Consider the following 17,285-nt stretch of genomic DNA (forward strand, 5'->3'; position numbering starts at 1 on the left):
CCCCAGATCTTCAGATGGCTAGCTAGCCCTTTTTCATAATCAAGCCTCAGATCTCATGTTCTTTCTTCAAAGAGGCTTCCCCTGACAACCAAACTGAAATGGTCCCTTCCAGTCACTCCCTTACCAGTCTGTTTCAGTTTTCTTCCTAGTGCTTATCACTGTCCAGATTGTCTTTCTCATGTATTGTTTTTTTCTGTTGATGGCCTAACACTGAGGGCAGGATTCACCATTGCATCTCCAATGCCCAGATGAGTCTGGCACATAGCAGACATTCTGCAAATATCTGATGACAAAATCATTGGACTCCAGTGAGTCCAGACCATTTTTGGGAGTCACCTGTGCCTCTGGGGCTGACTTCCTCATCCACTTTGAAGGTGGGTACTGTCGTTACTGCTTTATCTCTCCTCTGTCCTACAGGTGGTATAAAACAGAGATCCTAAAGATGAGATGATCTTCTCACCTGCAGTCAGTTAGCTTCCTGCATCTCCCACCTCTGTGTAGGCCCAACATCTCCTCTCCCTATTTAATCTCAGAGATGAGGCTCTGGGGCAAGGACAAGCAACCCTGGACTCAGCAGATAGCTTAATGCCCACTCTGCCCCCAACTGCCTCCCAAAACATGGTTGAGGCTCTAGCCATTCAGCAGGTACTTGGGGCCCCCTTGGCCACTGGGCATACAATGGGCAACATCCTTCTGTACCTTTCTCTTGGTTTGCTGGGCACTCACTCTCCCTGGAATCCACTAACTGAGGAAAGGGAGGAGACTAGCTATTTGAGAATTGATGTGCCCTGTTTCCAAATGCTGAGGGGTAGGAGGTGTCTAGAGAATCCTGGCCCCCATAAGGCACCAGCACCATTGGTGACACTTTACCAAACTTGGGCTACTCTACTCTCTGTTTCTCAGCACTCCACACACACACACACACCCCAAATATTTAAAATGGGACTGATGACAACTAATCCCCCACCAACAACGTTCCAGTGGTCAAATAGAAATGAGTCTTTCTCCTTGATTCCAAACCTGAAGGGAAATAAGGTTCCTGGGCTGAGCTGAGTTTAAAATAAATTTAGGCTCCCAGATAAATTTAGGGCTATAGAGTATGGATTCAAATAGCAAAGTCAGACAGAGATAGGAGAGAGAGTTTGAGAATTTCCAATCAACTCTCCATAAAGTGAGTCCCTTTTGAGAACCAGGCTGCCACATGGTGGGCAGCGGATGGGGAGGCAGAAGCAAGAACTAGAGCTCTCACTCTGGAGATTATCACTCTGGACGATTTCCTAGGCCTTTGTCTGAGTATTGGTCTTTTGGGGAGGAGCATGAGAGTGGAGGTTAAAAGTATTGGTTTGAAATCAGGCCTAAATGCAAATTCAGGCTCACTCTCTCACTAGTTCTGTGGCCTTAAGCAACTCTACTAAGCCTCTCCTAGTCTTATTTCTTGATCTTGTAAATGAGATAACAAGAGTGCTTTACTTCATTTGATTTTGGGGAAGATGAAATAATTTATGCCAAGAGCTTATAGCATAGTGCTTGGCACAGAGTACTGTTCAATACTGATGTTTAATCAATGCTGCTGCTATCATTATTATTTTTGGAAAAAAGGGAAACAAATATGGAACTTAAATAGTTCATAAGGGCATAGCCTCTAGCAGCCTCTACATTCCAGGTAGGGGGCAGTGAAAAAGAGCAGGTGGAGGTCAGGAGTTCAAGACCAGCCTGGCCAATATGGTGATACCCTGTCTCTACTAAAAATACAAAAATTAGTTGGGCGTGGTGGTGGGTGCCTATAATCCCAGCTACTTGGGAGGCTGAGACAGGAGAATCGCTTGAACCTGGGAGGAGGAGGTTCCAGTGAGCCCAGATCACGCCACTGCACTGTAGCCTGGGCGACAGAGACTCCATCTCAAAAAAAAAAAAAAAAAGGGCAGGTGCCTCTCTGGAACGATCAGCTAGTGTGCATTTAGCTAAAGGAGGACCCATCTGACTCTCCATTTCAGCTTTGGCCTGCCAGCCCAAGAAGAGCCCAGTCTATGGCTGTCTTCACAGATGTAGTTGTATACTGCACCAGATTTATTTCTGTCTTGTCACTTTGTGTCTGTGTTCCAGGCCTGGGGTGTCTGAGGTTTTCTGGTGGGGGTGGAGTAGAGTGCTCCTTTGAAAAACAAAATGTGGTCTCGGTCTAGGGGCTTTGCTTCCTTCTGGCTTCAGGCAACAGCAGAGACCCAGCCATCTGCCAATGGCATGGGATGACTAGAGTTCAGTGCTGAATATTCACTCACCTGTTGGACATCTAAGATGGTAGTTAATCAGCCCTGGAAAACAGCTCTTGAGTAAGAAAAGGAGTGATTTGTCTTCAGCAAGAATTCTTAAGCTGGGGCTTTTGGGGGTCTAAAGCTCCTGAAGTTTTACAGATTATATCCGTATGTGCAATGTACATTTTTCTGAGAAGAGGAGCCATAGTTTTCATAAAAACTCTCAAGAGGAGCCACAGCCCAAATAGGTTCAGAATCACTGGTCCTGATCTGAGAGTAAAGACAGCATCTTCCTCCATGGGGTCTCTAAAAGACTGTAGCCTTCAACCTGGCTGATCATCAGGACTGTTAGTGAAAAAGCGCCTGGAAGCGGTGTTGTTTAGGCATTGAGAGAGAAGACAGCTACTCTCCTTATTGGAACTGTGTTGGCTGATTGGAGCCTCCCATATCCATTTGGGAAGTTGGAGTTTTTGAGCTCACTAAATATCCCCTATTTTCCCTGAAATTTGGTTGCATGTTAGAAGGTATTCAAACTAACATATGTTGTGCCAAATGAATGGACTGGTCTGGTCTCATCTCAGAGATGGGGGCAGGGCTGGGTGACTTCACTAGGTGTGTGTTGCTGGTAGTAATGGTAGGAGGCACAGAGGTTGTTTTATGTTGCCCTCACTTGAATGCTTGGTATGTAGTTTGGTACTTAGCCATTGTTTGTGCATTTATATAAAGGAATTGTTTCCTTTCCTTTTAGAGACATTGAATCTAAGCTCCACAGTCCATTTTTTTAAAAAATTTCTCAGGGGTCAATGGTTTCTCGTCACCCCGTGGCATCCTTTCCTGAGGGGTCAGGTACCTTGATCTTATCCTCAGCTGTGCTTATTTATTCCTTAATCCTCACTCTCCAAATCCTGAATCATATCTCTGAAAGTCAAATTGGGGCCTGTGAGATTGTTTGATGCTTCTTGGAATGTGATTCCATCACTGAGGCTATGCTTCAATTCTGGCCAGTCCTGATACTGCCTCCTGCTTTTCTCAGTATCCATCATTCTTTGTTACATCCCCTTGCTCATATTAGAAAATGGCATCGACATCCCTTGCTGCAAAATTTTCCCTTTCTCTTAACCCCAGGTCCATGTGTTCAATGCAGTTTACCAAATGGCATCAGAATGCCACAGAGGTTTCATAAGACTTGAATGTGGCTGCCGTACTACCTGAATCAGGCAAACACCCTCTGAGCTCAGTCAGCTCACAAGTGGGAAGTATGAGCTGAGAGTAGCTGAGTACAGTAATTCCCTGGCTTCTCTAGGAAACAGCCTGATCCCCATAGGGTAAGCTGGCTGGTAAAGCCTCCACGGGACAACAGTTTCACTTTGCTTCGGGGGCCTTGTATCAGAGTGTTCTCCAGACATGAAACAGAGTCATGTCAGGCTGGGCACAGTGGCTCACACCTGTAATTCCAGCACTTTGGGAGGATGAGGTGGGTGGATTACAAGGTCAGGAGTTCAAGACCAGCCTGGCCAACATGGTGAAACCCCGTCTCTACTAAAAATACAAAAAATTAGCCAGGAGTGGTGGTGGGCGCCTGTAATCCCAGTTACTCGGGAGGCTGAGGCAGAGAACTGCTTGAACCCAGGAGACGGAGGTTTCAGTGAGCCGGGATCGCACCACTGCGCTCCAGCCTGGGCGACAGAGCAAGACTCTGTCTAAAAGAAAATAAAAAAGAAACAGTCCTGTCTCCAAGACATAAGCCTCTGACTTGGAGCTATCAGACCATGCAAGCCCACCCAAGAATATGGGCATATCTATCATCACTGCCACTGGGGGTCTGGGCAGAGGCCATTATTCCAAGACAGCCCTGATCCCCACAGAGCTCAGGGGGTCTCATGGAGATTATTAAAGCCCATACAGGGTGACATTTTCCCCATATGCTCTTCCCCAGAAGCTCCCTACTCAGGGAAAGTGAAGTCTTGGGAGCAGTTGCCTATACCACATCCACTCAGAAAGATGGGCCCAAGGACTGGAGACTGTGATTTCTGACAGAGGCAGCCCTTCCTCCTGCTCCTACCCTGAGGCCAGCAAAATTGTTTCTACTCCTTCCATCTCGCTTACTGTCTCTTGTACCCTGCTCCACTTATCAACTCATTTTGAGCTGGCTCTTGATAACTATGACTTATCTCTTGATTATAGGGCTCTATGGATGATGGACAATGGGGAATGGCCACCCTCTGGCATTTATTTGCTTCCTCTCAAACCGTGACTTCTTTTGAGGGAATTGTGAGGGAGCAGATAGGCCTCCAAGGCCATCTCATCTCACAGTCTGCTTCCTAGCAGAATGGGCCACCCCTCAGTCCAGGCCAACTCATTCTTTTAACCTTATTAATGGTGCCTTGGGTTATACAGAGGCTTTTTATTTTGGTGTAATCAAATGTATTACTCCTTTACTTTATGGCTTTGTATTTTATGGTTCTTAAAGAAGGCTTCCCTATCTCCAGATAATAAACATACTCTCCTATATTTTCTTTATACTCATTTTATAGTTGTGTTTCTATGTTAGTCCCATCTGGAATTTATTTTCATAAATGGTGTGAGTTAGGGATTTTTTTTTTTTTTTTTTCTGAGAGTCGCATGCTGCCCAGATTCTATAGGCCATCTTTTTCCCCAGTGTCTTGAAGTACTACTCTTCTTGTAATCAAAACTCCTATACATACATGAGGCTATTTCTGGATTCTCCGTTGCATTGAACTTTTTTATATTCTTCTACCAACCATGCTATTTTAATTTATGTAGCTTTTAGGTATGGTTTGATACCGTATGTTTTTCTCCTTTGTTTTTTTCCTCCCAAAATCATTTTGCTGTTCTCACATGTTTTTTCCTTCCAGATGTACTTTCCAATCAGCTTGTTAAGTTTCATTTAACAAGTCCTATTAGGACTGCAGTTGAGATTTTATTGATTACATAGGAAAGTTGGGGAAGAGTTGATAATCTTCACAATATCGAGTCTTCTCATCCAGAAACAGAATGTCTCGGCTATGTTCTTAAAGGCCCCCAGGGAAGATATCTTCTCTTTTCCTGACTCCTACAGTCCCTCAGTTTCCCTTGGCTGGTTCCCTGAGCCACCAGACCCTTGTATTGTAATGTCCTATGATCCTAGCTTACTCATTCTCTCCTCCCATTTAGAAATGGATTAAACAGCTGAGCATTTGCTTTTGCTCAGGAATTCTGAGCTTTATCTTTCTAAGACCTAAAAGAACTCCTGGGGGATTGTCCCATCTCTTTTCTCCCCTGCCTTCACATCCCATTCTCAGGATCTCCCTTCTCTTATTCCCCCAGGAATTCTAATATTTCTATTCTAGAATCATACAGCCTAATGTTTCCCTTTATCTAGACTCCCCTGATAACCTGGTTGACCTAAAACAAAACTCCTCATGCTGACCTTCTCTCTCCCTCACATTGTTTTATGTAATTTCTAAGCTTTGTCCAGACACAGTGATATCCTGGGAGAAGAGTCGAGAGGGGGGAAGAGGAATGGCAGTGTTGGTGATCTGCCATCTCCCAATCCTAAAGGCAAGCGCTTATCACCCCAGATTTGCCAACAGGCTGAACTCCACAGAGCATCTAGGAAGTCCTAGCCATTTTTGTTCCCTGATTTCTGTCATGTGTACCAGCCTCAAGAGGCAGGCTTCTAGGTTAGGCTGACTGCCAAAAGCCTAGGGGTGAAGCAAGAAGGCCCTAGCCTCTTCACTCAAATCCCTTTCAGGGACAGCAGTATCCGTTGTGTTATTGCCAGTGTGAAAGCCAAAAGGGTCAGAACTAAAGTTGTGTGGCTGTCAGACCAGGTGTCGCAGAAGCCAGAAAGTAGGAAACAGGAGCCCAACACAGGGTTGAAGTTCTCCCAAAGGGCTGAATGTGCTTTAAGGCCAGGTACAATAGCAAAGGAAAGACACAGGAAGTTTGCCCAAAACCTTTTGCATATACACCTCCGTACCCATAAAGGCCATAGAGTCCCTACACCCAGACACACTTTGCTCAGCCATGTTCCTCTCTCACTTCTGCATCTACTTGACTTTCTATGCATCACCTCCTCCTGCTTCCAGGCTCCTCTGAGGCCAGGTCAGCACACTTTACCATTAAAATATTCCGCCTAGCCTTGACTCTTCTTCATCTGCTACTTATCCAGGGGATAAGATACCAGGGTAAAGACTGTGGAATTTGATACAATGATTGAAAAGTTATTCTAACATAAGACTATCACAGAAAATAATTTCTAGACATTTGTGTTTCAAAAGACAAAATGAGCCACTCCCCAGCAGAGCGACCAACTTCCAGAGACAGAAAATCTGCCACAGTGGCTGAAAAGTTCTAGTAACACAAACAGAGCTACAGCATCTGATTCCTCAAGATCTCTCTTCTACACACAATGTGCTGCAAAGAATTTTCCCCAGTCCCCACCCCACCCACCAAGTTGCTTAAGACCTAGCCAGCCACCCAGTTTTACATGTCTAAATCTGAAATCAAAGTCCCAGGCAGGGAGAGGGATTGTCACAAGTAATTGCAACATCCCACAAGAATTTGTTTGGGAGTTAAAGGGAGCCAAACCTGGGCCTTCTCCAAAGCTTGCAAGTCTGAGCTTTTTGAGAACCACATTTGATCTGTTCCAATGTGTTGAATGTAAATGTTTGTCTTGTGCCTGCTTGCTAGCTCTTGGGAACTCTGCAGGACTTCTGCTGGTCCACAGTGGTGACAGGTGCATCTTTCCATAGGAGAGGACATAGTGGGGAACGGCCTACCGTGAGCTACAGGCCCCCAGAATTGGCCCTTACCCTAAGCCATGCTCCAAACATTAGCCCAGGGGAGGGGGAGGGATGGGGACTCTGAGAGGCATGGGATCCAGGTGGCTGCAGGGAGGGACATGGATGGGAGGGGAAGGGACACAGGCATCCTGATGTACCCTGTGTCCTTTCTCAGCAACTCACATTCTCACTCTCCCCTTGCCTTCACCCTTACCTTACTTATCTCATTTTATTTTTACATGTTACCTTCATAGACATTATTTTAAGGTAGTGTTCTCTCTTTTTACATATAGAAAAAGGCTACTTTCAAAGTGACAGCTTAGGGCTTAATCACAGTAGCTACTCCAGGTATGTCTCAAGACAGCCCAGCATTACTGGGAGGTATAGTTGGTTGTTATGAACCACATACAATCTTCATCATCATCGTAATCATAGAATAGCCACCACTGACTGAGCCCTTACTTTGTGCAAAGCAGTGGGCAGCAGTTTACATATTTTGTGACTCTTCTCTGCCCTCTTGTGAGGCTGACATTGCAATTTCTTTGTTTTACCAAGAAGGGACAAGGCCTGATCAGGTTAAGTGGCCTGCCCCAGGTCTCCCCGTTGGTCAGAGAGACAGCCTCACCTTCAGAAGACCTGGGACATTGCCATAGCTCATTTTCTTCAGGGAGGACCAGAAGGGAGGCAGAGCACGAGGAGGCATCTGCCAGCCCCAGCAGTTCAAAACTGCCAGGCATGGCTGGAAGGGACGTTCACACCATGTCTTTTCCGTGGGCCTCAGGCCTCCCCCAGCTGACTCAGGACCATCAGGACATGATGCCTCAGGGATGGGGATGGTGTGAGGGGAGAGAGGGAAGGCCAAGCAGTTCTGTCTTGGTTCCTTAGAGAACCCTTATGTCATCATGGGCCCGTGGTACCCAAGGGGCATCCAAACCCTGATTCCCTCCTCTCAGTTCTTCAGGGCTTCAGGAGCAAGGCTTTCTCTGAGATGCAAGGTTATTCCTCATTGATACTACTCTGGCCCTAGCTTCGGAGAACTTGAAGAGAGCCAGAGCAGGCCAAGGTAGATTTTCTACTTGGAGGTCAACAGTCTTACCCCTGAGAGCCCAATATCCATTCAGCACAGCCTAATGTCTCTCTATTCCCTCTGCTGATTTACATGCCAGGTTTATTTAATTAGCCAGAGGTGAGTCAAAGTGCAGCTTGTCCTCAGAGTTAATTAATATTAACTGAGCCACCACACAGTGAGTGACGCCAAGACTGAACTGTGTCCTCTGTATCAGCTTGGGGAACAAACTTCAACCCCTTGCTCCCGGCTGGGGTTGGGAACCGAAGCCAGCCAAGGAGTCAGGCTGATGGGCCTCTGAGCTATTGTGAGGAGTGAATGAGGTCATGCATCTGACATGCGTGAACACAGTGGTCATGTTTACCACCGTGTCTGACACGTAGCCGGGACTTAGAAATTGATAGCTGTGTTTATAAATTTTGAAAAGGAATGGCAGAGAAAGGTCCCTGGGAGACCATGTTTCCCTTTGGGGCCTTTTCCAAGGGAGAGAGGAGTGATGGTAGCAGAGGCCATGGGACACAGACCCTCAGGCTCCTGCACATGAGCATCATACTTGAGTAAGTGAGGCATGCTTCTCTCTATGTTAACCTAGGCCCCTTGTAGAAGAGGGAGAAGGTGGTAGTGGCTGACTCCAGAGGAATTCAAGCAAAGCACAAGTAAATGTAGTCTTTCCTTTAGCTGTAATTTAACTGCAAAGAAAAGGAAACCTGGCCTGGGCAAAGGAGTATGGGCCTATAGGGTCCCCTGCTAGGCCAGGACCCTCTTCTCCTCCTTCCCTCACCCCTGTTCCTGTGCACACCAGAACCCCACCTCAGACTTATCCCAGAAGAGTTTTGGCCCTGTCCTTCTTCCACATGGTGCTTCCTTGAGCCCCGAGGCAGTGCTAGCGCTGTCCTGTGAAGTGCCCAAAGCCGTCACTTTGTGGAGAAATTTGGTGACAGTGCTTTCCCTCTATCCTCTCCCTCCTCCAGGGCCACCATGCCTGATAAGCACCTCACAGCTTGTCCTGCTGGTGTGGTTGCAGGGGAGTCCCATTGCTCAAAGCCCTCTTTGTGGTTGCTGGCTCTAAACAGTCAGCCCCTAACTTTCTCAACTCATCATCTCAGCAGCCCCAGTCCTCCCTATGGAAGTGCCCACATAGCCAGTGCTTGAGTGGGCTTTTCAGTCTGTCTTCCAGGCTTGACCCTATCAAAGGTTGCCTCAGAGTCAGGTTGGGAGGTTACCATAAAGCAGCCCAGCCTCAGAAATGGACAAGCCTTTCTGGAAGCCAAGACCAAGTGGAGAGACATGCCACTGAGACAGGACCCAATGGTCTGTCACCAGCTGCCAGAAAGATGGCTCTCCTACATCAAACACTAGGGCAAGATAAACAGCATCCCTAAGACCTTCCCTGGACAGATTTGGGCTGGAGGGCACAATGAGGCCTGACAGTTTCATTCTGGGTTTGCCATGGGTTCTATACAAAGCCAGAAGCTGGGTGGGAAGGGAATCTCCCCAATTACCTGAGACGACTTTGGTAGGCAAAGTAAAATGGGAAATGGGGCAGAAATAGACAGCCAGACTGTCAGCTAAAGCCAGCTCTGGTGAGCCTGAAGTTCGGAGACCCCTGCGCCCCCTGCTGGTCCCTCAGACAGGCTGCTGCCTTTTGGGCTTCCTTCTCCTCAGGGGGCTTTCTGGTCCTTTCTATTTGCCTCTGTATCTGGAATGACTGCTTCACCTCTCCCCATCTCCCCTCACTCGTTTTAATCTTTTCAGTTTCGGACATAGCCTGGAGCTGCTCCCTCTACCCTGCCATGACCCGGCTTCTTCCTTTTTTTTTTTTTTCTTTTTTTGAGACAGTGTCTCACTCTGTCACCCAGGCTGGAGTGCAGTGGCGTGATCTGGGCTCACTGCAACCTCCACCTCCTGGGTTCAAGCAATTCTCCTGCCTCAGCCTCCCAAGTAGCTGGGACTACAGGTGCGCACCACCACGCCTGGCTAATTTTTGTATTTTTAGTTGAGATGAGGTTTTACTATGTTGGGCAGGCAGGTCTTGAACTCCTGACCTCAGGTGATCTGTCCGCCTTGGCCTCCCAGAGTGTTAGGATTACAGGCGTGAGCCACCGCACCTGGCCCCAGCTTCTTCCTTTCTAACAAAAACCTGAGTCTGACCAAATCTCTCTCTCTCTCTTTTTTTTTTTTTTTTTTTTTTTGGTAGTATATGAGCCATCCTCTTCAAGAAGCCTGGAAACCCTGCTTCCCCACCTACAGGCATGCCCCTCAGGACTGTGAAAGTGGCAGCTTTCCTCTCCCTGCCTCAGCCATCACTTCAGAGCAGGCTACTGCTGCTGCCTCCCAGAGGGGCTTGCAGCCTCCAGCTCTTGCTCCTCCCCTCTGTCTCTAGCGCTGCAGAAACAGATCTTTTATAGGGCCTTTGAGGTTGGCCCCACTAGCTTTCTCATGACAGCCCTCCACTATGCTCCAGATTGGTCCAGGAATACTCTCTTTCTCTTTCCAAATCCTGTCCACTTAGCACGTTCTGATAACTCCAGTGTTCACACTCCAGCCCATCTCCGCCATGCCCTCCCCTGAGGCTCCTGCTGCCAGGCCACTGCTATGCCATTGTCTCTTGAGTGTGTTTGTCTTCTGAGATTGGAAGCACCAGGAGGTCAACATCTTCCACCTCCCATAAGGCCAAGGGCAATGCCAGGCTCCCAATGTGCACTCAAAGGATCATTTTGAATGCTGCTCCTCTCCTAATGACCTCCTGGCCCCACCTCAGAGTTCTTTGGGGTGTGGCAGGGCCGGGATGTGGCTGGGTCTCCCAAGGCTGTCATTGTCAGGTCACTGCAGAAGGAGGAGAGATATGGGGACATTTTCTAGAAAGGGTGAGAACAAGAGGGAGATTGGGTGAGGGAGGGAAGACCACTCAGGGATGAGATCCCTGGGTGTTAGTCACCACACTAGTGGGGAAGCCCATGCGGGACTTGGAGGATGTGGATCCAGGGGAAGCCCCCAAATCTCATAGTTGCTTTGTTCTATCGTCTCTCCCCATGCCTTCAAAGGCGGCCTGCCTTCCCAGTTCCCAGCCTCCCGCCAGATTCTTGCGTGACCTCGGGCGGCACCCAGTGCTGCTGTGGACAGCTCATTCCGCCGCGGCGGCGGCTGCGGCTGCGGCGGCTACAACGGCTCCCGGCGTGTCCCCGGCGCCGCCAGGGGGCGAATGGGGTGCCCGCCGGCTCCTCGGACTCCGGGCGCGCCGGCACTGCGCTCCGGAGAGGCCCGGCCAGGGAAGAAGCAACTTCCCTCCGCCGCCGCAGACCAGCCGGGCAGAGACTTCCAGCCCCACCCTCAAGCCCTCTCGGTGGCTCTGTGCGCCCAGGCCTAGGGGTGGGGGGCCGTAGGTGCTGCGCGCCCGCACAGGTGGTCAGGCCGTCAGCATGCCTGGCTCGTCGCGCACAGAACACTGCCCAGGGGTTCACCCAGCTCCCCTCCCTCCCCTCCGCTGCCCTCCTGGCAGCTCCAGCTCTGCTCTCGCGGCTTTCCAGGTTTTGGGGTGGGTGATTGAGTAGGCCGCACCTGGGACACTGTGACTGGAGGACGCCGGAATTTAAGGAGGGGACGAGGGAGACGCAGCTCTGTTTCTCGCTGTACCCCCTCACCCCTCCGAAGCAGCCGCGGGCGGTGCGCAGGCCGTTCTCTGCGTCCTCGGGCTCTGGGTGAGGCTGGGTGCAGCGGGAGAGACCCGGGGCGAGCTGCTGGGGGCTGTGTGGCCGGCCCCAAGCTGGCCGCGCGCACACGCTGCGCACCTGTTGGAGCGGGCCTCTGCCTGTTCGGACCCGAGCCGGGCCTCCACGACACAGTCCCCTTGGGCGGCGAAACGGCCACATCTAGCTTTAGGTTTGAAAGGAAAACAAAATAGGGGGAAAAAAGTGGGTTTACAGTTGCATACATGGACTCTCTGGGTCAGCTCTTGATGAGGACCAAATATCAGTAGGTCTTTTGGGGCTGCAGCCAACAAGCTGGCAGCTGAGGACAGAGACCTGCTCCCTGGCCTTGGCACTGCTGGAGATCTTTCAGCTTGATGAGATGCAGTTTTCACAGAAAAATTCTGTTCCTTAGAACCCAAGTGAGTCTTTCTCAAAACTGCCAGAGTTGGTGATAAACCTGTGTTAAAAAAAAAAAAAAAAAATTCCCCTGTGTGTCCACATACTAGCCAGTATCCACTCCAGGTAAAAGTTTCTACCATTGAGTAAAAGGAAGTTATGTTTAGGAAGTTTTTGAAACAGCCCCTCTCTACTTGTCTGCTAGTTAATCACCCACATTTTGTTTTGGTTTGGTTTGGTTAGATTTGGTGGGGTTTTTTTTATTTGTTTTCGTTTTTTGCAACTTAAAGCAAGAATTAAAAGTTAATTCTGAAGCTTCACATATGCTTTGGCTTCAAATCCTAACATTCAGCACAGGTTTCCACATGGGGAGTGCCAGGTCTGACATCTGTGTCAGTCCTTATTTTGATTCAGGGTTGGTTAGATAGATGCTCAAATCATTGAGGGAGGGAAGTCCTGGATGAGGGCACTGCACTGCCCACCAGGGTGTCCATGAGACACTTTATAACCTAAGTGTCTTTCAGACTCTGAGGTGTGGGACTGGGTTGCAAACTCCAGACATTAACTTTCTTTAGCATCTGGAACCTGGGTCCTAGGAGACTATTTCCTCCTTACTTCATCCAGACATCAAAAATAGACCCAGCAATTGATCCCATGTTTAGAGGCCCTCAGTGACTCTGCATCCCCAAGGGGAGCCTCATCTCCCAGGACACAGCACTGACACTCTGCAGACAGTACAGGGGATCTACTCCAAGCCCAGGGCAAGACCCCACACCCACTCCCTCTGTCCTTCAGTTCCCGTATGTGTCTTAGACTCCCTGGCCCTGCAAAGGCAAGGAGTGACCTGAAGTCCAGAGCCTCACATGACCACAAGACCCTCAGGTCTAAAGAGTGGCACTTGTTGGAGCCCTGCTCCTGTCCCCACCCTTAGGAGGCTCTGGGAATGGGGTGGGGGAATAGCCTGTGTGGCCATGGCCTCTGGCTCTGGCTTAGACTACTACCTTGCTGCAGTATTGTGTCTTCCTCAAATTTTCTCATAGGTGAGTGCTTACCAGGAGTGGCTCCCACAGAGCTTCCCCATTCACCCAAACCTGTCTGGAAGAGCACCCCAGTTCAGCCACCCAAACCTCACCTCTCACCCTCTTCCAGTTAGCACTGCCTTTTCTCCTTATCCCTGCCAGGGACCCCTTTCTTCCCAGGAGAGATACCCAAATTGTGAGTATCCCACACAATTTAATGGGAACCTACTTTGTGCCAGGCACCAGGCCACGGGTTGTGGATGCAAAAACAAACAAGAAGCAATTACTGCCCTCCTAGAGCTCATGGTGGTTGATGGGGAAATTTATTCCTTTATTCATTCATTCACTAAAATGTACACTGAGCACCTACTGTGTGCTACGCCCTGGGGAGTGCTAAGTTCTTAGGTAGACAGCGATGAAGACAAGTATAGGATTCTGGGGATTCTGCCATCCTTAGAATGCCACCGTGTAGAGTCATGGTTTATAGGGGACACAGACATTAATCAAACCACTTGGCAAGCAGAGAATTATAAGCCATGATAAAGAGAATCACAGGATGCTTTGAGCACCTATAGAAAGGCCAGGAGACAGGAAGCCCGGCTGAATGGGAAGGACCATGGGAGGTGCAGGAGCCAGGCATATACCTGGTAGAACTTGGCTTGGTGCTTATCTTCCTCCTGAAACATGACCCTAGACCCTTGAGAACGTCCCTTCCTGTGCCCTATCCCTCATTCCCCACACCGAGAAAATCTGCCAGCCCCTCTGCATGGCCCCTCCCTCTCTGAGGATACCCGGGCATCTCTCCTTGCTTCCTGTTGATTGGTGGCAGGAGGTTCTAGTGCCCCGCATGGTCACTGACTGAAGTTTTCAGGCCAGCTAAGGGGTGGGGCTTCAGGCTTGTGCGGCCGCTGAGTCCCAGCCTTCTGTGTTCCATGGACCATGGGAGGAGGAGCTGGGATTGGGGCATTTAATGAAAGAACTCCTAGGAGAGGAGTGATGAGGTTTGGCACATTGACATTCACACACCCCACCCACCCCCAGCCTCCACTCCACTGGTTCTCTGGCCTTCTCATTTTTTTTTTTTTTTTGTTTTTTTTTTTTTTTTGGAGACAGAGTCTCTCTCCATCACCCAGGCTGGAGTGCAATGGCACAATCTCGGCTCACTGAAAGCTCTGCCTTCCGGGTTCATGCCATTCTCCTGCCTCAGCCTCCCGAGTAGCTGGGACTACAAGCGCCCACCAGCACACCCGGCTAATTTTTTGTATTTTTAGTAGAGACAGGGTTTCACCGCGTTAGCCAGTATGGTCTCGATCTCCTGACCTCGTGATCCGCCTGCCTCGGCCTCCTAAATTGCTGGGATTACAGGCTGGCCTTCTCATTTTTAAGGCCTGGCTAGGATAAGTTCCCCACCCCTGTCCCTCAGAAGAATGGCAGGGCCTGGGCAGCAGAGCCCTGGGCCTGGGACCCATCCAACAAAATGGCTATTCCAGACGCCTGGTCCTGCCTGGCTTTGACTTCTCATCCACTCTACACTGTGACATGGATCTGGGTGGGGCAGGCTGCTCTGCTTCCAGGTAAGGACTGTGCCACCCACGCAGCCAAAGACCACCTTGGGAATACCAGTACCTGGGCAAGAGATAGCCCCTGCAAGGCCCACCCACCATAGGCTGGCTCAGAGAAGGCTGAGGATCCCTGTGTTCTCCCTGAACAGGGGTACAGGGCCCCTCAGCAGGGCCAGCTCCTCACCAGGGTGCCAACCCATGGCTGGTGGCTGGGAGGAGGGTGCTATGCAATGCTGGGAGCTTGACCCAGGCCTCAGCCTTAAGGAGCAAATGTGTCCAGGGCCACCAACTGGCCTAAGTCCTTGGGCATAGCCTCTGTCTCATGCCTCTTGATCTCACCAGGGGGGATCTCCAGGGTGGCCCGCCTGGGAATGCCTGTCCCTCAGCTGGCACACAAGTACCCATGGCAGTGCCGCAGGTTATCCAGCAGCAGCCACAACAGATAAGGCAGCCTGCCACCTCAGGCAGCCGTGGTCTCTGTTTTGCTTCCTTTTCTCTTTAGGATGAGACTGATGAGGGTGGGGTGGGGATTAACCCTTGAGTTGCTATACGTAGTTTGGCCCAAGCCTAGGACTTTGGGAAGTGCTTTATATCACTGCTTTCTTCCTGTGGCCCTGGCCTTTGCAGATGTGGGTCTCTCGGCCTCCCCTTCTGCCAGAAGCCTTCCCTTCTGCCAGACACTCCATATTCAGGGTGGCCACAACACTGGTCTGGTTGGTGCTGAGACCCCAGCACAGAAAAAGGGGCCTCCTCTGCTCCTGGTGTCATTGCCCATGAGCCATTTCTGTGGAGAGAAAAGTTTGAGAATCCTCTTTGGAAAGCCTGAAGTGTGGCACCGAGCAAAGGTATGATCCTTGTTCTCACCTTCCTGGCCCTGCATTCATCCCATTCCATCCCTGCTCTCTAGTTACAGGAACACCCTATGGCCTCCAGGCCAGTGCATTTGGTCCCTGGTAGGCAGGGCTGCCTGCCTGCCTGAGTTTCCCACATGGGAAGATGCAGCAAGACCTCCCCAAGCTTTTGGAAGAGGCAAGGACAGCAGCTGGGCCATCTGGCACTCTGGGCAGGGGGTGGGGTCCAGAAAGGGGTGGCAGACCCTGCTCAGAACCCAGTGGCTACCTTTCTCGTCTCATTTGAGCTCACTGAGCTCCTCTCTAAGGTACTGTAAATGTTAAACAAATTCAGACTCTGTTAGGTTGGACAACATTAAAGTATCCTGGATAGATGCTTGAAACGCAGCAAGGGACAGATAATAAGAGTAATACTACCATTTACTGTTCACTGTGTACATGCATGAATTTTATTATATAATCCTTTAAAATTAATTCGTTATTTAATCCCATTTAATTGTTTAATCCTTACAACTCTCTAAAAGATATGTGCTGTTGTTATCCCCATTTTATAGCTTATGAAATGAGGCTCAGAAAAATGGAGTCACTTGCCCAAGGTCACACAATACAGCTAGTTAGGATTAAAATTGAGGCCGGTCTGCTTCTAGGGTTCATACCCTCCATCCCCGCTGCATACCACACTCCTAAGCCCCTGAGCTGGGAGAGGGAGGGGCATTGGAGGAAAAGGGTGGGTGCCATGCTGGTCTCTGCCCTCACCCAAATTCCTTCTGTCTTCACACAAATATCTGCCAGGCCTTGGGGATGATGACCTGAGGGTGGGGCAGTAAGGCCTCCAGATGTCAGGGCAAAGTGGTGGCCACTCTCCTGCTGTCAGGTTCCATGTTTCTGATGGCTAATAACCCCAGACACCTGGGTTATCGGTCTCTGCTCCCCACCTTGGGCCTAGGTAGTGATTCCAGGGATGTGGACCCCTGGAACCTGGCAGGCAGCCAGCATAAGACCAAGGACAGACCCATAAAACCAGAGGTGCCCTCTGAGTCCAAAACCAAACACAACCACGTGCACAGCCGCTCATTTGTTCCAGGAGTTTCCCCTACACACCACGGACATAAATCCCAGAGTACCCCATGGCTTCCGCATTGTGGAGAGGTGTGGCCCTAGGGAGGGAGTGGGGTGGGGACAAGGGATATGGAATGGTTGCAAATAGAAAGCCAAGCCAGACTCCAGAGCTGCCCTCCAGCCTCCGGAGGCAACCACAGACCTTCAGGAAAGAATAGAGCCCCTTGTTGAGTGTGGACAGGGGGAGGGAAGGGGCTTGTTATGTCCTTATAGCCACTCTAAGAAGGTGCTGTTATTGTCTGTTTTCCAGAAAAGGAAACTTGGGTCAAGGGTTCTTAGCTGGCAAGTGGCCCCACACTTAACTCATCTCCTGTACCACCTCCCTCAGCCCTCATCAGGTTATGACAAGGGGGGGTGAGCTTGGGTAGAAGGGGAAGGAGGCCTAAAATCCAGGACTTAGAGAGGAGAGAGGCAGTCTCAAGTGTGGGAAAAGCACTTGCTAACAGGAAGTCTCCCCACTCCACCCGCAGGTAAACAGTGTAACCACCACTCATTGGTCCATTCAATGTGAGCATCTGCCCCATGCAGGTCTTATGAATCAAGGCTC

General features: G+C 49.8%; 5 annotated features.

Moving 5' to 3' along the window:
* Positions 11,173-11,392: a silencer, noted in NCBI's record as "silent region_16445". NCBI's record gives its function as "represses an Ori minimal core promoter by ATAC-STARR-seq in GM12878 lymphoblastoid cells {active_cell/tissue: GM12878}" and the evidence as "EXISTENCE:reporter gene assay evidence [ECO:0000049][PMID:35858748]".
* Positions 11,173-11,757: a biological region, named in NCBI's record as "H3K27ac-H3K4me1 hESC enhancer GRCh37_chr5:139525474-139526020".
* Positions 11,211-11,757: an enhancer, noted in NCBI's record as "H3K27ac-H3K4me1 hESC enhancer chr5:139525474-139526020 (GRCh37/hg19 assembly coordinates)". NCBI's record gives its function as "activates a minimal SCP1, AML or CMV promoter by ChIP-STARR-seq in naive H9 embryonic stem cells {active_cell/tissue: H9 hESC(naive)}" and the evidence as "EXISTENCE:reporter gene assay evidence [ECO:0000049][PMID:30033119]".
* Positions 11,446-11,740: a silencer, noted in NCBI's record as "tiled region #8105; K562 Repressive non-DNase unmatched - State 4:PromP". NCBI's record gives its function as "represses a minimal TATA promoter and a strong SV40 promoter by Sharpr-MPRA in K562 cells {active_cell/tissue: K562}" and the evidence as "EXISTENCE:reporter gene assay evidence [ECO:0000049][PMID:27701403]".
* Positions 11,758-12,304: an enhancer, noted in NCBI's record as "H3K27ac-H3K4me1 hESC enhancer chr5:139526021-139526567 (GRCh37/hg19 assembly coordinates)". NCBI's record gives its function as "activates a minimal SCP1, AML or CMV promoter by ChIP-STARR-seq in naive H9 embryonic stem cells {active_cell/tissue: H9 hESC(naive)}" and the evidence as "EXISTENCE:reporter gene assay evidence [ECO:0000049][PMID:30033119]".

Source organism: Homo sapiens, chromosome 5 (genome assembly GCF_000001405.40).
Source record: "Homo sapiens chromosome 5, GRCh38.p14 Primary Assembly".
Taxonomy (NCBI): domain Eukaryota; kingdom Metazoa; phylum Chordata; class Mammalia; order Primates; family Hominidae; genus Homo; species Homo sapiens.